Genomic DNA, 19,542 nt, shown 5'->3' with positions numbered 1-19,542 from the left:
ACCTATGATTCTTTGAGCTCTCTTTCCTCTGTCACTGCTTTCGAGATTTTCTTTTTTTTTAGTTTTCTGATATTTGAATATGAAGTATCTTGATTTAGATTTCTTTGAGTTTACCCTGTTTAGGGCTCACTCAGCAACTTGAATCTGTAGATTTATTTCTTTGGCCAAAATTGGAAGTTTTCAGTCATTGTTTCTTTAAAGACTTTTTAGCCTCATCCTTTTTTTCTCCTCTCTTCCTAGGACTGTGTTGAAAAAAAAATACCAGATATTTTGTTATGGTCACACAAGTCCCTGAGACTCGGTGTATATTTTAATGTCTATGTTCTTCTCTCTGTGGTTCAGATTGAGTAATATCTACTGCTCTTCATCAAGTGCACTTATTTTTCTGTTGTCCTCTCCATCCTGCCACTGACCCATACATTGAGTTTTTTTTACTTCAGTAGATAAGTATTTTTCAGTTCTAAAGTTTCTGTTTGGGTGTTTTTTATATTTCCTATTTGTTTTTTAAGGCTGGTTTAAAAAAGTTATTTCCAGCTTGTTTGTGATTGTTTCCTGAGGCATTTTTATGATGTTCTTTAAAAATCTCTATTATATAATCCTAACGTCTCTGTCATCTTGCTGTTGTCATCTGTATTACTTTGCTAGGGCTGCCGTAAGAAAGTCCCGCAGGCTGGGTGGCTTACAATAGAAATGTAATTTTGGTCTCTTCTAAAGCCCCTTTCCTTGGCTGACAGAATGACTGTCTTCTCTCTTTGTCTTTACATAGTCTTTACTCTGTGTCTGTGTCCTAATCTCATTTTCTTCGAAATACTAAAGATGTTAATTTTATAAAATTAGAGCCCATCTATATGACCTTGTTTTACCTTAATTTCTTCTTTAAAGGTCTTATCTTCAAATACAGTCACATTCTGAGGTACTGGGGGTAAAGACTTTGACATTATATTTTTGGGTGGAGAGGAGATCCTGGATCTTATTTGAATTTTCTGTTTTAGCTGACTTCCTCCTACATTGCTGTCAAAGGAAGGAATGCTGCCTCGTTATTGTCAGGTGCAGGTAGGAGTCTAGGTTTCCCATGTGGCTTCCATTGATTCCCACATGGTGGTGAGATTCCTTGTTACTTCTAGTTGGAGTTGGGAGTGCGGGCTCTCCACTGATAATTTCTTTGCCAAGAGGGTATAAATGCTTTATTATTGCTCCCCATATGAACTGCACTGATACCATGTAGTGGGGGTGGCATCATCACTGCTTCATATTAGTTAAAATACTGACTATCCACTTGTTCTCCTCTGACACCTTTCCAGTGGGGAGCAGGAAGGACAGCTCTTTATTGCTGGTTTGGGTGGAGGTCAAGGCTTTCTATGTGGTCTGTACTGATACCAGAGCGGGTTTCATTATTATCACCATTTGGGAATGAAAATTCCAGCTCCTTACTTTACTTCTCTGACAACACAGCTATGGGGGTGTTGGGTGCCTCAATATAGCCTCACAAGTGTGAGGATCTAGGATCCCCAGTTGACTTTTAATGGCATGAGTGGGAGTGCAACCATAGTTTCTTCTGTAGTGTTTGGCTAGAATAGAGTTATTATTTTCTAAAAGTTTTCTGTCTTGCTAGACTTATTTCTTCCCTTATTTGTTTGGACTTTTTGTCATCTGTACTCATTGATATTTTCTAGGCTTTTGCTTGTTCATCTCTAAGTTTGAAATAAATAAGCAAAAAGAAAACCTAGAAAATTACCATTGTGTCATATCTTGGGCCCTGAAGTTCCCGGGAGATTTGCTTTCTACCTTTCAGAGGCCTTTTAGTTTGTCTTATATGTAATGTCCAAGATTTCTAGTTGTATTTAGTGGGATAAATATGATAAAGGCACTTCTGAGCATTTTTACTTTATGCGTGTGTGTGTGTTTTTAAAAAAAGAGAACTAGTTAATAATCACAGCTGTCCAATATGTGATAAAATTTTATTCCTTAAAATGTGTTAAGACATATATTACATAAAATGTGCCATTTTAATCATGTTAATATCATTAAGTACTAAGCAGTATCATAAAGTACATTCACCATATTGTGCAACCATCACCACTATCCATTTCTAGAATTTTTTCATCATCCCAAACAAAAACTATACTTATTAAATAATCCTCTATTCCTCCCACTCTCAGCCCCTTATAGCACCCATTCTACTTTCAGTCTCCATGAATTTTTCTTTTCTAGATACTTCATGAATAATTCAGTATTTTCACCTTCGTTTTGGTTTATTTCATTCAGGGTAATGTTCTTAAGATTCATCCATGTTGCAACAAGTATCAGAATTTCATTTCAAATGCCAAATAATATTCCTTTGTACAGATATACTATATTTTGCTTAAGTGTGGTATATCTGTTCAATGTTATTTCTATATTTTGGCTATTATGAATTATGCTGCTATGAATACTGCTTTGCATGTATCTGTTTGAGTAGCTGCTTTCAATTCTTCTGGTATATCACAGAAGTAGAATTCCAAAATTTATTTTCATGCAATTATTTATGCATTGATTACTTTTATTAATTTACATGCAAGTGCTGCTTAACTTATGATGGGGTTATGTCCTGATAAACCCATTATAAATTTAAAATGTTGTAAGTAGAAAGTGCATTTTTGATCTACACTGTTTTCAATTTACAATGGGTTTATCTGGTTGAAATCCCATTGTAAGTCAAAAGCATACTGACTGCATATGGCTATTGCACTGTCATAAAGGGAAACCATTGTAAATAAGGGATAATCTATAGTCATTCACTTATTCTACACATTTCTTGATCATTGTTTGTTTGCCAAACACCTTACTGATAGTAATTTTTAATATCTTACTTTTGTATACTGTCTTACAAAATATTTCTATAAGTGCCTCATTGAATTTTCAGATTAGTTTTATGATTTCATGTATTAATTCTCTAACTACACAAATAAGCTTAATATTCTGAGCATTCCATAACTGAGTCAAAACTCACATTTCTGTCCTATGATATTGAGCTTAACATGCTTTTGGTTAACAGCCTTGAGATTTTAAAGCAAAGTTTAAATTATCATTTGAGAAGAATGTTCTAAAAATGTGTTTTTTAGTTCAAAACTCCAGAAGCTTTGCCCTTAGAAGGAGTCTTATAGATTATGTATAATCCATTTTCTATAGTTTAAAAATCATTTTAGCTTAAGCCTTATTTTTACAGTTGGGCACAATCTCTCTCAAAATGACATCATCAGTGTAAATACATAGGTTGATGTGTAAATATTTAATGAAACATGTCAACATAAAATTCTTATCAAATTATTTATTTTCCATACATATCTGTTATGTAAATATATTTTTCTGGATTCTGTGAGGATGTTTCTCAGCTGATGACTGTATTCTTGGAGCTCACTGGCAATAATCTAATACCTTATTTCCAAAATGAATAAATGTCGAATCAAAAATGATGATTGAACTTCTTAGCTTTGATTGTTGTAGAACAAACATAAATTTGTTGTTGGAAGACCACACTCTAATCTCAAGTGAAAATATTTTTAGAATGTTTGTACATGTTAATAGATAGAATTTTACTGTCATTGGCTTATCTGACAATTTTTTTTTTCAAAAAAAAAGAACTGATATAAGGGGTGAAAAATTTTTAATTGTCTTTTTCTATTACTGTTTAAGATCTTTGGAAATTAGTGAATTATTACACTCTGAAATAATGCAGAACATAGTTTTAGGATATAGGAGAAACTTCAGTTTGCCCCCAAGTATAGTGAGAATAGAAATGACTTCAGCACAAACTTTGCCTATTTAGCTACTATTGCATATATATCATCTGTTTTAGTTACAATATATATAATAAATTTTGAATGTATTGAATTATGAGTAAGAATTTTGTGTATATTTCTCATTTACCATTTTATACAGTTTATATCTACTTCTTTGACCCTTATGAATTCTAGCTTGAATGCTGGAATTATCAAATGAGCAAAATGTAACATTATAAGTATACACTATTGTTAGTAAACCTACATGAATAGTGGATAAAAGGACAGGGGACAGCTTCCCATGGTAGTATTGTTAAAAATAAAAATGCTTCAGATTTGGTGGGTTTTCATGTTGCTGAAGCCATTATTAGGAAGAATTCATAGACGAAAAGGATGAGGAGGCAATGATAAAAGAAAAATGAAAGTTTCTTTTTTTCTCCTTTATTTCCTTTCCTTTCTTTTTAAAAAGTATAATGTCAGGTTAGATTCTCTTGGTGACAATAGACCAAAACAAACAAATAAAAACACAAACAAACTGCTCAGGTAGATATAAATATCTTAGAAGTAATGCTGACTAAGACGAACCTAATGGCTCAAACAATTTCGCCAAGAGCCTAGTTCATCTGCATCTCTCCGGATGGGTGGGCCTCTCCCAGCTTTAATTCATCCTTAGCTTTACCTAGTGGAACCCACAGCGTCATGTTTTCCCCTCCAGTTAGCAACACTTCTCTGCCAGACTCTTCATACTGCCCCATCCAGGGAAAATGATGGATTTCTTCTGATGCCTCATGAGGAAGAGATTAAACTTTTTTAATATATGAGAATCCCAGCAAATGTCTACTTGTGTCTCACTGCTCATGTCTTTCTCTGAGCCGGTCACTGCAGCCTGAGGCTGGGTGTAAACACTGTAACTAAGAAATGAGGAAGTTGGTGCTGCTAAAGCTGCTCTGCAGCTTCGCAGTGATCCCGGGCAACAAAAGCACTTGCAGAAAATTGTGCCATTTTCTGTAAAACATCTAAATGCATTATTTACTGAGAAAAAATTTTAACTCTTTTTTGGAAAAACTGTCTCAAGCAAGGCACTTTAGAAGATTTTCATGCCCGTGTATCTCTGATGTGTTATTGGTCAGAAACATGGCTTTACAGAATTAAATTAGCTGTCAGTTTTGCTGGAGTACTAATTTGATTTTAGATTTACAGTTTTTTCTTATATAGAATTATCTTCCTTTCAAAATGTTTAAAATATTTGAATGATTTGAAAAAAATATGATGAGTAAATATGATAATAAAAACTATCTCATAATTCAGTAGTGCCAAAAATTTTAAGTTAATGTTACTTTTAGATAGAATTTTCACATCTTGGAAGAAATTCCTAATCCTTTTTGAAGGGATAATATTGAATACTAAATTATGTTGCTTTTAAATAAAGGAAATGTTTATTTGCCTTCCTAGAGCGACATACAATTGTCATGTGTGTTTATCTCTGTATGTTCATCATAACATTTTTGAAAGAACAAAAAGCGTGTGTTTTAGTTATCAGCACCCTAATCTGTTCATATTTGCTCTCCAAATTTTACTTTGAAAATGTGCAAGCATGCAGGAAAGCAAACACCTGTAAAACCACCATTGAATGGAAATTAATTAGAAATTCGCATATTACATATTTGTATGCATTATACATTTTACTGAACCATATGAAAATAAGCTGCAAGTCACCTTTCAGTACTGAAAAATTATTTACCTCAGTTCCTGTTACAGGATACGTCATTTCCACCTTTTAAAAAAATTATAAGGAAAGTTAAAAAGCAAGAAAACATGCAGCCAGAAGAGAGAAAGCTGGCATCAGAACTAGACTCAGATTCGGCAGAGATTTTGGAATGCTCACTCAGGAATTTCAAACAACTATATTAATGTGCCAAAGACTCTAATGGGAAAAGTGGAAAACATGCAAGAATAGGTGGGTAATTTAAGCAGAGAAACAGAAACTCTAGGAAAGAATGAAAAGGAAATTCTAGAAATAAAAACACTGTAGCAGAAATTAAGAATGACTTTGATGGGCCCACCAGTCGACTGGATATGGCTGAGGAAAGAATCAGTGACCTTGGTGATATGTTAATAGAGGCCTCGTAAACTGAAATACAAAGAGAAAAAGGATGGAAAAATGAAACACAATACTCAAGAAAGGCAGGATAATAACAAAAGGTGTAACATACATGTAATGGAAATACCAGATCGGAAGAAAATGTGAAAGGAGAAGAAAAAACATTTGAAGTAATAATGGCTGATAATTTTCCAAAAATAATGACAGATGGGAAACACAGGTCCCAAAAGCTCAGAGAACACAAAGCAGAATAAATACCAAAGAATCTACACCTAGACATAGCATATTCACATTGCAGAAAAACAGACAAAGAATTAAATCTTGAAAGCCAGGGGTAAAAACACCTTACCTGTATAGGAAAAAGGATACAAATTACACTGGACTTCTCAGAAAACATGTAAGCAAAAAGAGCATGAAGTAAAATATTTAAAACATTGAAAGTAAAAACCACCAGTTTAGACTTCTGTATTGATAAAAATCCTTCAAATTGAAGAGGAAACAATGACTTTCTTAGACAAATAAGAATTGAGGAAATTTGTTACTAATAGACCTGCCTTGCAATGAATGTTTAAAAAATCCTTCAAAGAGAAGGGAAATGATGTAGATCTGAAACTCAGACTTATACAAAGGAAGGTGGAGCAATAGAGAAGGAATAAATCAAGGTAAAATATAATCTTTTATTTTTTATTATTTATTGATATAACGGATAAAAATTTGTTCAGAATAAAAATAAATACAATAAATTTGGTAGCTTATGGATAAGTGGAATGACAGGAATAATTGTTAAAAGGGATAGAAAAAAGAAATTGGAAATACAGTCAGCCCTTCATATTTATGAGTTTCACATCCATGGATTCAGCTGATCACAGATTGAAAATATTGGGAAAAAATTGCATCCGTATGAACATATAGGGACTTTTTTCTTGATATTATTCTCTAAACAGTTCAACAACTATTTACATAGGTTTTTATATTGTATTAGGTATTATCAGTAATTTAGAGATAATTTGGGGTATATAGGAGGATGTGCATAGGTTATATGTAAATGTCGCATCGTTTTATATCAGAACTTGAGCATCTACAGATTTTGGTGTCCTCGAGAGGTCCTGAAACCAATCCCTTATGGATACTGAAGGATGACTATACTCTGTTACAAGGTACCAGCACTACCCATGAAATAGTATAATCAATTATAGATAGATTAAAAATAAAGAGATGGAGAAAGTTGCATCATGCTAACACAAATGAAAAGAAAACTAGAATAGCTATATTAATTTCAGATAAAGCAGACTTAAGGACAAAAACAAAAAGTATTGAGGGATAAAGAGAGTATTATGTAATGATAAAGTGATTCATTTTCCAAGATGACACAGCAATCCTTAATGTATGTGCACCTAACAGCAAAATATGTGAGGCAAAAACTGTTAGAGCTGCAAGAAGAAATAGAGGAATCGACTATGATAGTTGAAGGCTTCAACATGCCTCTATCAGCAATTGACAGATCCAGCAGGCAGAAAACTAGTAAGTTGAACTGAACAGCACCATCACTCAACTGGGTCTAATTGAAATTTGTAAAATACTCCACCCAGTGACAACAGAAATACACAGTCTTCTCAAGCTCACATAGAACATTCACCAAGAAGGACCATATTATATGCCATACAACACATCTCATCTAATTAAAAAAATAGAAAGCATACAAAGTATGTTCTCAAACCACAATGGAATTAAACTAGAAATTAATAACTGAAAGATAGCTGGAAAATAACAAAATATTTATAGATTAAACACATTTATAAGTAACATGCTGATCAAAGAAGTCTCAAGGGAAATTTAAAAGTATTTTGAACTGAATAAAAGTAAAAATACAACTCATCAGATTTCGCGGGATGCAGTTAAAGCAGTCCTTAGAGGTATAGTGTTGAATGCATATATTAGAAAAGAAAAAAGATATAAAATCAATAATCTAGACTTCCAATCATAGGAGACAAGAGAAAAAAAAGCAATATAAAATTAAACAAGCAGAAGAAATGGATAATTACAAAATAGAGCAGAAATCAATAAAAGTGAAAATGGGAAACAATACAGAAATTTGACAAAAGTGAAAACTGGTTCTTTGAAAAAATTGTGAAAATTGACAAACTCCCAGCCTGGATAGTGAAGAAAAAAAAAAGAATAAACATAAATTACTAATATCACACATAAAATTGGGCCATCTCTAGTGAACCATAGATGTTAAAAGAATAATAAAAGGGTATTATTAGCAATTTTAAGCCCATAAATTTGGTAACTTAGATAAAATGGACTAATTTCTTGAAAGACACAATGTAACAAACCACACAAGAAGAAAGAGATAATCTAAATAGGCCCATATTTATTAAACAAATTGAATCAATAATTAATAACCTTCTAAAACAGAAAGCACCAGATTCAGATGATTTTACTGGTGAATTCTACCAAACATTTAAAGAAAAAATGACGTTAATTATCTATAATTTGTTCCAGAAAAACAGAAACAGAGGGAATACTTCCTAACTTTAATTATCTGAGGCCAACATTACCCTAATACCAAAACCAGAAAAATATATTACAGGAAATAATAACCACAGACCAATATCTCTCATAAATATAAATGTAAGAATCCTCAACAAAATATTAGCTAATCAAATCTAACATTGTATAAAAGTAATTATACTATCCCAGGTATACAAAGGTGGTTCAACATTTGAAAATCAGATAATGTAATCCATCATATCAACAGGTTAGGGAAGAAAAGTGATATGATTATATCAGAAGATGCATAAAATGCGTTTGGCAACATTGAACACCCATTTGTGATAAAACCTGAGCAAACTAGGAAGCGAGGGTACTCTCTTCACTCAATAAAGAAGATCCAAAAAAAACCCCTATGGCTAATATAATGCTTAATGGTGAGAAACTACAGGTTAAGTATCCTTTATATGAAATGCTTGGGACCAGAAATGCTTTGAATTATGGATTTTTTTTTATTTTGGTGTATTTGCATATACATAATGAGATATCTTAGGGATGGAATTCATATAAACATGAAATTCATTTATGTTTCACAATACATTATATGTATTCACCTGATGCACATAGACTGATAGTAATTTTATAAAATATTTTAATAATTTTTTGCATGAGACAAATTATGTGTACATTGAACCATCAGAAAGCAAAGGTGTCACTGTCTCAGCCATCCATATAGACAATCTGTTGTTATTTGACAGTACTCTCATTCCTGACTTGGAATCTTTTTTTTATACTTATTCACACATAAGTACTTAATAGTAAAAAACGACATATTATTATTACAGTGAAAAAATATAGTGTGCAGAGTACCTAAGCAGGGCAGTGGCATCACCAGATACCTGCATCAGCTGTTGAACAACAGCAATGACAAACAATGGCAGGCTTTCAGCCTCCACCTATTGTGTGGTTTTTCAACTAAAAAGTTACTGTGCACTGTATTTATTTATTTATCTATCTATCTATCTATCTATTTATTTATTTATTTATTTATTTATTTATTTATTTATTTAGGAAAAGATATATTGCAGCTGAAGGGGGCTAGGAGAGCCCTTTTCCTTTGGGGACACTGAATAAGCTGTATGTTGTGTGACTGAGTTTTAGCTACGACCTCCCACAGGAAGTCAGGTATAGAATTTTACCCTTGCATCATGTCCGCACTTAAAAAGTTTTGGATTTTGGAGCATTTCAGATTTCACATTTTTGGATTAGGGATGCTTAACCTGTATTGCTTTCCCACTAGGCTCAGGAACAAGGCCAGGATGTCCCCTCTCTCCATCCCTATTCACCATCGTACTGGAAGCCTTAGCTAATGAAATGTGGAAACAATAGATTGGGAAGGGAGAAGTAAAACTGTCTTTGTTTGCAAATTACATGATTACTTATCAATAAAATCCCAAACAATCAACACAAATCTCTTAGAACTAATAAGTGATTATAACAAGGTTTATAAGATTCAAGGTTAATGTATCAAAGTTAATTGCTTTCCCATATACAAAATTTCACCAATGGTTTTGGCATCATTGATGAGCCTTGCATAAGTATACTTTTATATTGTATTGCAAAATTATGATTTCCTAATTTCATGACTCCCTGTACTAGCTGGTATTCTTCTTAAAAGAAGGAATCTGTTCCCATGCCCCATTATGTTGTGTCTCTGTCATTTTCTCTTCTTCTCCCTTATCTCGGTGGACTCATGAAATGCTAAATGTTAAGTACATATGGACACAAATGTGTCCAAGTAGGCACCAGTGTGCCTACTTGAGGGTGGAGGTTGGGAGGAGAGTGAGCATGGAAAAACTCCCTAATGAGCACTAGGCTTATTATCTGGGTGGCAAAATAATCTGTGAACCAACCGTCTGTGACCTGAAATTTACGTATGTAACAAACCTGCACAGTACCCTCAGAACCGAAAATAAAAGTTGGAAATAAAATAAATTCTACGTATTATAATCAGTTCCATTATCCCTTTTTCTAACCCACAAATAGTCCCAAATTTGGCCAGTGGAAGACTCTTCCAGCTAACTCTTTTGTCCTTTTGACATAATCCCGTTAGACTTTGAGTGCTTTTTGTCAAACATTGTGTCATATACTTTTGTTGCCCCAGAACTTGAAGCAGCTGCGTCTTCAAAGAGTTGAATTTCTTCTAGTGAAAAATAGTAATTGAAAATAAAATCTGAATAGCAAGTGTCCTTTTATACTGGGAGGTAATTAAATGTAGGATCTTTTAGAAAACAAGATTTCAATTTCCTTGACATTTCATGTAGTCAAACATTTTTTCATGACTTTTAGATTTTGTGTATATAGAAATGACTTTCCAACTTTGAATTAACAACTAGATTTATTTCACATTTTAAGTTATTTTGCATTTTTATTTTCACATATATTATTACTTGAAAATCTGCATGGAATTTTTATAGATAATAGAAAGTTACATTGCTCTGTACTGTCTTTTAAATATATTGAGCAGAGCATGATACCACACAGAGACTGAGGTGTGCAACTTTTGCAACTTACTGTGTAGTTCTTCACATGGAAATATGTTTACAATGGGGTGTGTATCAACTGTGAATTTATCAGTCTATGTATTGAGTAGTGCAAAAAATAATTTTTTTGTAAGCCAGTTATTATTTTGGACCTCATTCCACATAATGGCAGAAAACATCTTGGCCCAATTTGGGTAAATTTACCATTTGGGGTAAATAGAGTCCATTCAGAATCTCTGTTACTCATTCTTTTCTCTCTATTCAATCTAAAATACTGTTATGGATTGAATGTTTGTATCCTCCCAAGACTCCTATCTTGAAGCCCTAAGACCCAGTGTGATGGTATTTGGAGGTGGAGCCTTCAGCAGGTAATTGGGTTTAGGTGAGGTCATGAGTGTGGAGCCCCTGTATGGGAGTAGTGTCCTTGAAAGAGGAAGAGACATGGGGGCTTGCTCTCGCTCTCTCTGTGCCATGTAAGGGCACAGTGACAAAGTGGCTATCTGCGAGCCAGGAAGAGAGACTTCAGAAACCAAACAGTGCCAGACCTTGATCTTGGACTTTGCAGCCTCTAGAACTGTTAGCATATAAATTGCTATTGTTCAAGCCATCCAGTCTATGTACTTTTGTTATGGAAGCCTGGGCTAAGATGGCTGCCCAGGCTCCATATGGCTTCATGAGACCTCTTGGTTGTTTTCATGGAGGTATTATGCTTGCTCTCTAGTCTGTGATCATTCTCATTCTGTGAGGTGAAACACAAGTCTAGGTAGTCCTTGAGCACAGTCATGACATCTGGGGCTACTCTATTTCTTTCTTGTCACAGGGTTGCAAGAGCAAACCAACCTCTCCTGTGACAGCTCCATTACAACTGCAACTCCCTCGCAAGTCCATGACTCTTGGTGTCACATCCACCCACTATAAAGCCTGCAAAAACCTTTGTCTCTTCCCCACCCCATTGAAGAGCTCAGTGATTTGTCAGGTTAGTTTTATGCCTTGATACATCTTACAGCCATCTCAGCACCTCTATGGTCCCATGGTAGGTTAGAAACCTATCTGTGATGTCTGTCATCTTCCAGAGCAACCATCAGGAAATGAGGGTACAGACTCTATTCTCACACCTACCAACTATTTTGATTTTTATTACTTTTCCCTTGGAACTAATTCTGTGTTTGATGGGGAGGGTTTAGGCTTTTCATTGCTCCCCTCTATAACACTCCTTGGTCCAAAAGCCCAATAAGTTTTATCTACACTGAGAGGGTGGAGTGAAAAACTTAATACATTAGTTCAGCAAGCATTTCCCCAAAATTTTAGTGTCAAACCTATATAATAGCTATGTGAGACTTAAAAGGAAATAAATGATGTTTGAGTTCTGTGATTTCATTCGTATAAGTTATTATTGGGGCTATAAATTTCACATAATATTTTTTGGAATTAGGGAAAGAATCTTTAGTTATCTAAATAAATTTAATGAAGCATGGAGGGATAAAATAAGTTGGTTAATGTCTTCCAGTTGTTAAGATAAAAAGTAACATAATATTTTATACACTAAATATCATTTTTATAAAAAAAGATAGCACAAAATATAAAATGACACATTTTAAAAGTAATGTTATTATCCAGGGTGAAGAACATGTAGATGAGTTTGATTTATTTCTTTAAAATTATATATTTTATAAAGGGATATAATTTCTTACTCATATAATAAAAATAAATATGAAATAAATATGAAAAAGCAATATATCAATATATAATCATCTTAGAAAATATTGAAATATGAAAAAGAACAATGAAGAAAATAAATTTGTGCAAAACCCCAGGCCTGTTATCACTGTCAATGTTTTGGATGTAGTTTTAATTTTTATGTAGACACAGTTATTTTATATAATTTAGATGATTTTATGTCGGTTTAACATTTTTTAAAAAGTGTAATTGTGGTAAAAAATACAAAACATAAAATGTACCATCTTAAACATTTCTAAATGATTTGGTATTATTCAATATATTCACATTGTGGTGTAATCAATCTCCAGAACCTTTTAATCTTGCAAAACTGAAACTCTATACCCATTAAATAACTCTCCATTTCCATCTCTCTGTAGCCCCTGGCAACCACTATTCTACTTTCTGTCACCACGAGTTTACTACTCTATCTTCCTCATACAAGAGGAATCACATAGTATTTGTCTTCTTGTGACCGGTTTACTTTACTTAGTTTAATGTCCTCAATGTTAATCCATTTTGTAGCATGTGTCAGAATTTCCTTCGTTTTTTTAAAAAAAAATTAATTCAAAATTTTTTTAGTAGAGATAAGATCTTGCTATCTCATCTTTCCAGACTGGTCTTGAACTTCTGGGCTCAAGTGATCCTCCTGCCTTGGCTTCCTGAAATGCTAAGGCTGAATAATATACCATTGTATGTATATACCACATTTTGTTTTTCTATTCACTCTCCAATGGACACTTGGGTTGAATCCACCTCTTGGCTATGTGAGTAGTGCTGGTGTGGAACATGTGTGTGCAGATATCTCTACTTTCAATTCTTTCAGATATATGCCCAGAAGTATATTTGCCTAGGAATTGCTAGATGGTAATTGAATTTTTAATTTTTAAGGACTCTCCATACAGTTTTTCATAGTGGCTGTACCAATTTACATTCCTACCAACAGTGTACAGGATTCTTATTTCTCCACATCCTCACAAATGCTTATTTTGTCTTTTTGAAAGTAGCTATCCTAACATGTGAGGTGATAGCTCATTGTGGTTTTGATTTGCATTTCACTAATGATTAGTGAATTCTTGTTGGTCACTTGTATATTTTCTTTGATGAACTGTCTATTAAAGTCCTTTACCCATTTTTAAATGGTTTTTTTTTTTGGTTGTTGTTGAGTTGTAGAAGGCCTTTGTATATTCTGGATATTAACTCCTTATCAGATATATGATTTGCAAATATTTTCGTCCATTCTGCAGGTTGCCTTTTCACTCTGCTGACTGTATTCTTTGACATACCAAACTTTTAAATCTTGGTGTAGTCCAGTTTACCTATTTTTACTTTTGTTGCCTTTGCTTTTGGTGTCACATTTAAGAAATATTTGCCAAACCCAAGGTCATGGAGCTTTCTCTGTATGTTTCCTTCTAACAGTTTTAGGTCTTCGCTTCATTTTGAGTTAATTTTTGTATATGGTACAAGGTTCCAGTTTTATTCTTTTCCATGTGGAGAGCTAGTTTTCCCAACACTATTTATTGAACAGATTTTCCTTTCCTCATTGTGTATTCTTGGTACTCTTGTAAATAATCATTTGACCATATATGCAAGGGCTTATTTGTGGACTTCCTACTGGTCTGTATATCTGTTTCTATGCCAGTACCATGCTGTTTTGATTACTATACATTTGTTATAAGTTTTGAAATCAGAAAGTGTAAAATCTTCAACTATGTTATTCTTTCTCAAGATTGTTTTAACTGTTCAGGGCCTCTTGAAATGTCACATAGATTTTAGGATGAGATTCCCTATTTCTGCAAAAAAAAATGCCATTGAAATGCTGATAGGGATTGTATTAAATTTTTAGATCACTTTGAGTAGTATTGACATTTTAACGATATTAAATCTTTAAGGCCATGAGTATGGGAAATCTTTCAATTCATTCACATTCTCTTTAATTTCTTACAGTAATGTTTTGTATCTTTCAGTGTAGAAGTCTTTAACCCGCTTGGTTAAGTTTATTCCTAGGTAGCTTATTATTTATAAGCTATTGTAAATGAAATAGTTGAGAAATATCTTTTTGATTTTTTATTTAGATTTTGATCAAAATTTCTATTTCTAGGTTTTGTATTTCTATCAAATTTAGTATCAGATTTGTTTTTCTTAATTTTCCTTTAGTATTTACAGGTAATTTTCCTTACAGTGATTATCTTGGTACACAATAATCTTGATTTTTAAAATCCTGGTCCTAATTTATTTTACTTTGACTTCTTGCTTTCTTCTTTCCTGTTAATACCAATTCTCCACAAGTTACCCCATGCTAGCAAGGTGCTTTCTCCCACTCATTTTCCAAGCCCTTTCTTTCAATTCCTTAGGAGCCAGGGTTCTAATTTCCTCAATCTTAAGTTCTCATCAGGATGGTACTCTCACCCTTTGTTGTTCTACCCCTTCTGCCAGAGTCCCTTCATCTGTAAAAAGTGGGGATTCCCACTTGACTCTGCTGAGGGTGGACTCTAGAGATGCTTTAGTGTTTTCACCACTTACATGTAAACTGAAGTTGCTAATGCTCTCTTTCTCTGGTTTTGTGGTAGATTGTGCTCTGGGTGATGTGTTTTTCTTCTTTCGTTGAACTGTGTGGTTTTCAGAGGTGTGTGGAGAGATTTGAATTTAGCTGAATACCATTATCCTATGGGAAACGGGAAGCTGTGTGACTGGTGTTAATGAAACTGTCCCTATAAACTTCATAAAATTAATCAGGAAAGAAGGTGGCGGGGGGGGGGGGGGTTTGGAAGAAACAAAAATAAGCCAAACTTTCAGCACATCAGCATTCATCATGAGATCAGCTGCTCTCTGACCCCTTCCTCATAGCTGTTTTGTGCCTATTGTCCTAAAATCACATAGACCCATGAAGATTATAGTTCTCCTTAACTGCTCTGTAGATAACAACTTGAGAATTATAAAATGTTAAGTTTTCCATTTGAGATATCCTTTTAGGTCCTGCACACCAATAAGGTCTGAAGGACCTCATGAGGAGCTGACTCACCAAAGAATGCGGTTTCCACATCCAAATAATATCCCCCTTATTCCAGCCAATCAACAACCCCAATTTTCTAACCTCTTTCCCTCTACTAATCCATTAAAAACCCCAGCCCAGAACTCATTGGGGGGAAGAATTTGAGGGTCCTTTCTGTCTCTTTATTTGGCTGCCCGTTGATAATTAAACTCTTTCTCTGCTGCAAACTCTGCTATCTCAGTGTATTGGTCTGTTACTCTTCAGCGAGCATACAAACCTGTTGGTCCTATAACTTGAATATAGGTAGTAACATATCTGGAATTCATACTTTACTGATTTAATCAATTTGTGCAGATCTGATTGCAGAAGTTCTGCTCTTTTCCCCCTACTTTGTGCTTATTTTTCCTGAACCATTTTCTACAATATAACAGTCTAAAGTGAATCTGTGTATCTGAGATAAAATATTATGGGAAACCTTTAGTTTTAAGTTTTGAAACTCCTTCATGAATATTTTATGATTTCATTTTATCTTTATGAAACAACTCCTCATTATTTAAAATTGACGATAATAATAAAAACCAAGTATAGTGTTTGTATGCCTCTCAGTAGAAGTCAACTTCTTTATGCTCAAGACATGACACCCTTGAAGTCATGTGGCTCTCAACATTCTAATAGTCTAAGGGCCTTTACCAGGAGGTAGTTCTGAATCCAGTGGGGTACATTTACAGAATACTTTCACCTGTTCTGTACCTAGTAACAGTAGCTTTCAACCTTGCTGCATATTATTATCTCCTGTGGAGCTATGAAGAATCTCAATGTCTAGTCTGTACCCTGGACCCATCATTAAATTAGAGTTTGTGGAGGCAGGGACCCAGACATTACTATAAGGCTTGGGTAGAACTCAAAATGAGGCCTTACAAATACTACTGACTCACGTACCTACACTATGATTTGCATACATCCACACTTGAGAACCACTAGTGAGTTTTGAGACGACTTCTCAATGCTTCTTATAAACTGTTTGAAGAAACATGGTTCTAGAATATTGTATTTCTTGAATTCTAACACATAGCTATATTTTTGAGATTTGGAGTAAAAGCAAAATCTTCTGAAGTATCAATTAATGCTGAGGAAAAACAATATCTAGTTAGATGTAAATCCACACTGGTCACTGCTACTTTTAGAAACTGACTGGAGTCCTAAACTGGGGGAAAAGAAACTGGTTTGGAACTTTAAAAGCTTAACTAAGCAAATTATAGAAAATCAGTCCCTTCTTTATTTTTAGGCAGAACTGTGATTTTGATGGCCTTTAAGGCAGGACTGCAGATGAGCTGCAACTGAATTATCTAGAAAATATCCTGAGAGAGTCCGATTGAGTAGGTTTGTGGGTGAACTTTAGAATTGGTGTGTTTAACAAACCACCAGGTGATTCTGATGCACTGACAATATGCAAGAGCACATTCCGAAGACACTTGATAGAAGGTTTCAGGAATTCTGATTGTCTCAAACCCTGAGAGGCACAAGTAGAAAAGATCCAGGGCTTCATTTTCATGACATTAACAAAGAGTGTGGAGAAGAAATCACCTTACTAACCTATGGTTGAAGAAAAACGATGGAGAAAGTGCTCATATGTCACATAAATTGTTTTCTTTAAACCCTTTGGTAAAGATTAGTTGTATCATCGTATTTATAAATCCATTTATAGTATTCTTCCCTGCAGATTTTCAACAGCAGCCACAGGAGGATCAAAATTCATCTTATGCATCTCTAAGATGCTTTTATCCCCTTAAGATGAATCCCATGGTGGTATTTGCCAGTTTTATAACTACCAGTTGAATATATTCAGTGTCATAAAATAAATTTTAAAAAATTGTTTATAGTCAAACATATTTTTCTTAGAGAAGTTGTTACTCAGTATATATGACTCCATTAGTCAGAATTTCTCCACAAATACTCTATGTTTCTTAATATTTTGAACCAAGGATCCATTTGAGAATTTGATGAGAGGCTTAGAACTCTTACCAATTGAACACATTTAAGTGAAATAACAGTTTCTATATATTGTTAGAGAATCTATGGACATCCCACAAAGCTCCTAAGGTCCACAGCTTATAGTTTAAAAAGTTTGTATCTAAGACATGTGGTATCTCTACTAATTTATAATTTAATGACATTCTATATATTTTCCAGGTACCTGTATAAGAATGAAATCCATGCACTAGATAAGCAAACATTTAAAGGACTCATATCTTTGGAACATCTGTAAGTAATAGAAACTTTTTTATTAAATCACTCATGGTGACAGTTCAAATAGACAGCTTTTTAAATGCCATTATGTGATAGTTGAACAATTATTTTAAGCTTCTCCATGTGGCTTGAATGATTGAATATCTGTCATCAGTTGGATAAAAATCAGAATGTATGATTGAGTTGGCATAAGGATAGGAAGACAGACAGAACTCAGCTGGAATTCCAGCACTGCATTTATTACTTGTGTGACATTGGGCAACTTACCCTCCGTGAACCTTTGTTTCCAAATCCTGAAATGCACATATTTCCGTGGTGCATGTTAAGGTACTGCATGCAAAGAGCAATAATGTTTATTAAGCAAAAATGTTTATTACTTGACTTAAAATAGGCATTTTATAGAAGGTAATTTATAGCTGTGACTATAATTTATGAAACAAGTTCAAGCTTTTAACTGACATTAGAACTTCCAAAACATGGGATTATACCTCTCATTTTACAGATAATAAAATTAACTTCAATGTTAGTTAACTGATTTGCCCCAAATTATGAGTCTGTATTATAATTATTATTATCATTATTATTATTTTTGAGGCAGAGTCTCTCTCTGTTGCCCAGACTGGAGTGCAGTTGTCCCATCACAGCTCATTCGCCTCCTGGGTTCAAGTGATTCTTGTGCCTCAGCCCCCCAAGTAGCTGGGATTACAGGTATGCCCCATCATGCCCAGCTAATTTATATGTTTTTAGTAGAGACAGGGTTTCACCACATTGGCCAGTCTGGTCTTGAACTTTTGGCCTCAAGAGATCTGCCCGCCTCAGATTCCCAAAGTGCTGAGATTATAGTCATGAGCCTCCATGCCTAGCCCTGTAGCATTATTATTACAACTCAAACTGACCGCTATCTTAGTGTACTTTTTAGCATTTGATACTTTATGAAAACCTCAGATTCACCATCATAATTTCAGTGTGAAATATGAATTCTTCAATATCAAAAGGTCATATTGTTTACTAATACTGCTACTAAACTGCAATTTGATGTTTTATTCATAGATTTCTCTCAATTACAAGTGTTTGAAACACAAATACTAATTAGATAATTAAAAAGATTTTTCCCATTGATGACAACCTATGGGATAGTTCTGAAACTCGGATATGTAGAATGCAGACTGTTTTTAAGTATTGGCAGGATTTCTGTATATCAGAAGCTTTTGATCCTGAAATTTGTTTCCATATTCAATGTGGTTTCTTAGTTTCAAAACATGATTTTATTTCTATAATAAATATGGTTAGAAGAAATCTAAATTTCTTTTTCATAGAAGGCTGAACTGTTAGGTTATAGTATTAAAACACAGTCAACCAATCAAAAAAATTTTTTTAAATTGCCTTTGCTCTACTTTTGTCTCTTATTAATTTCCTTTTACATGACTGCTATGGTTTGAAACTCATGCTGAAATTTAATTGCCATTGTAGCAGCATTAAGAAGTGGGAACTTTAAGGGGTGATTAGACCATGAAAGGTAATGAATAGATTAATGTTGTTATTGTGGAAGTGAGTTTCTTATTGTGGGAGCAAGCTCTTTATCATGGGAGTGGGTTCCTTATAAAAGGACAAACTTGGTTTCTTCTTGCTCTCTCTCTCTTGCCCTCACTTGCCCTTTTGCCATGGGATTATACTGCAGGAAGGCCCTTAAAG

The 19,542-nt window shown here is 34.0% G+C and overlaps 1 protein-coding gene across 8 annotated transcripts in view; it reads left to right on the top strand.

The window, feature by feature from the left end:
* The window catches only part of PXDNL (peroxidasin like), a 489,869-nt gene that overhangs the window by 234,741 nt on the left and 235,586 nt on the right, over positions 1-19,542 (top strand). For 7 of the 8 annotated variants that reach the window (XR_007060701.1, XM_047421364.1, XM_047421366.1 and 4 more), the window contains one exon: positions 17,794-17,865. The exons of the other annotated variant lie outside the window; for it this stretch is intronic. Coding sequence is in view for 4 of the 7 variants with exons in the window: in XM_047421364.1 (XP_047277320.1) it covers positions 17,794-17,865 (72 nt within the window). In the remaining 3 variants the exon portion in view is untranslated. Of the gene's footprint in view, positions 1-17,793; positions 17,866-19,542 lie in introns of those variants that run through there. 8 annotated transcript variants of the gene reach the window in all.

This window comes from Homo sapiens, chromosome 8 (assembly GCF_000001405.40).
Source record: "Homo sapiens chromosome 8, GRCh38.p14 Primary Assembly".
Taxonomy (NCBI): domain Eukaryota; kingdom Metazoa; phylum Chordata; class Mammalia; order Primates; family Hominidae; genus Homo; species Homo sapiens.
Note: the sequence above shows the minus strand (reverse complement) of the source record. Positions and strands in the feature narration are given on the sequence as shown.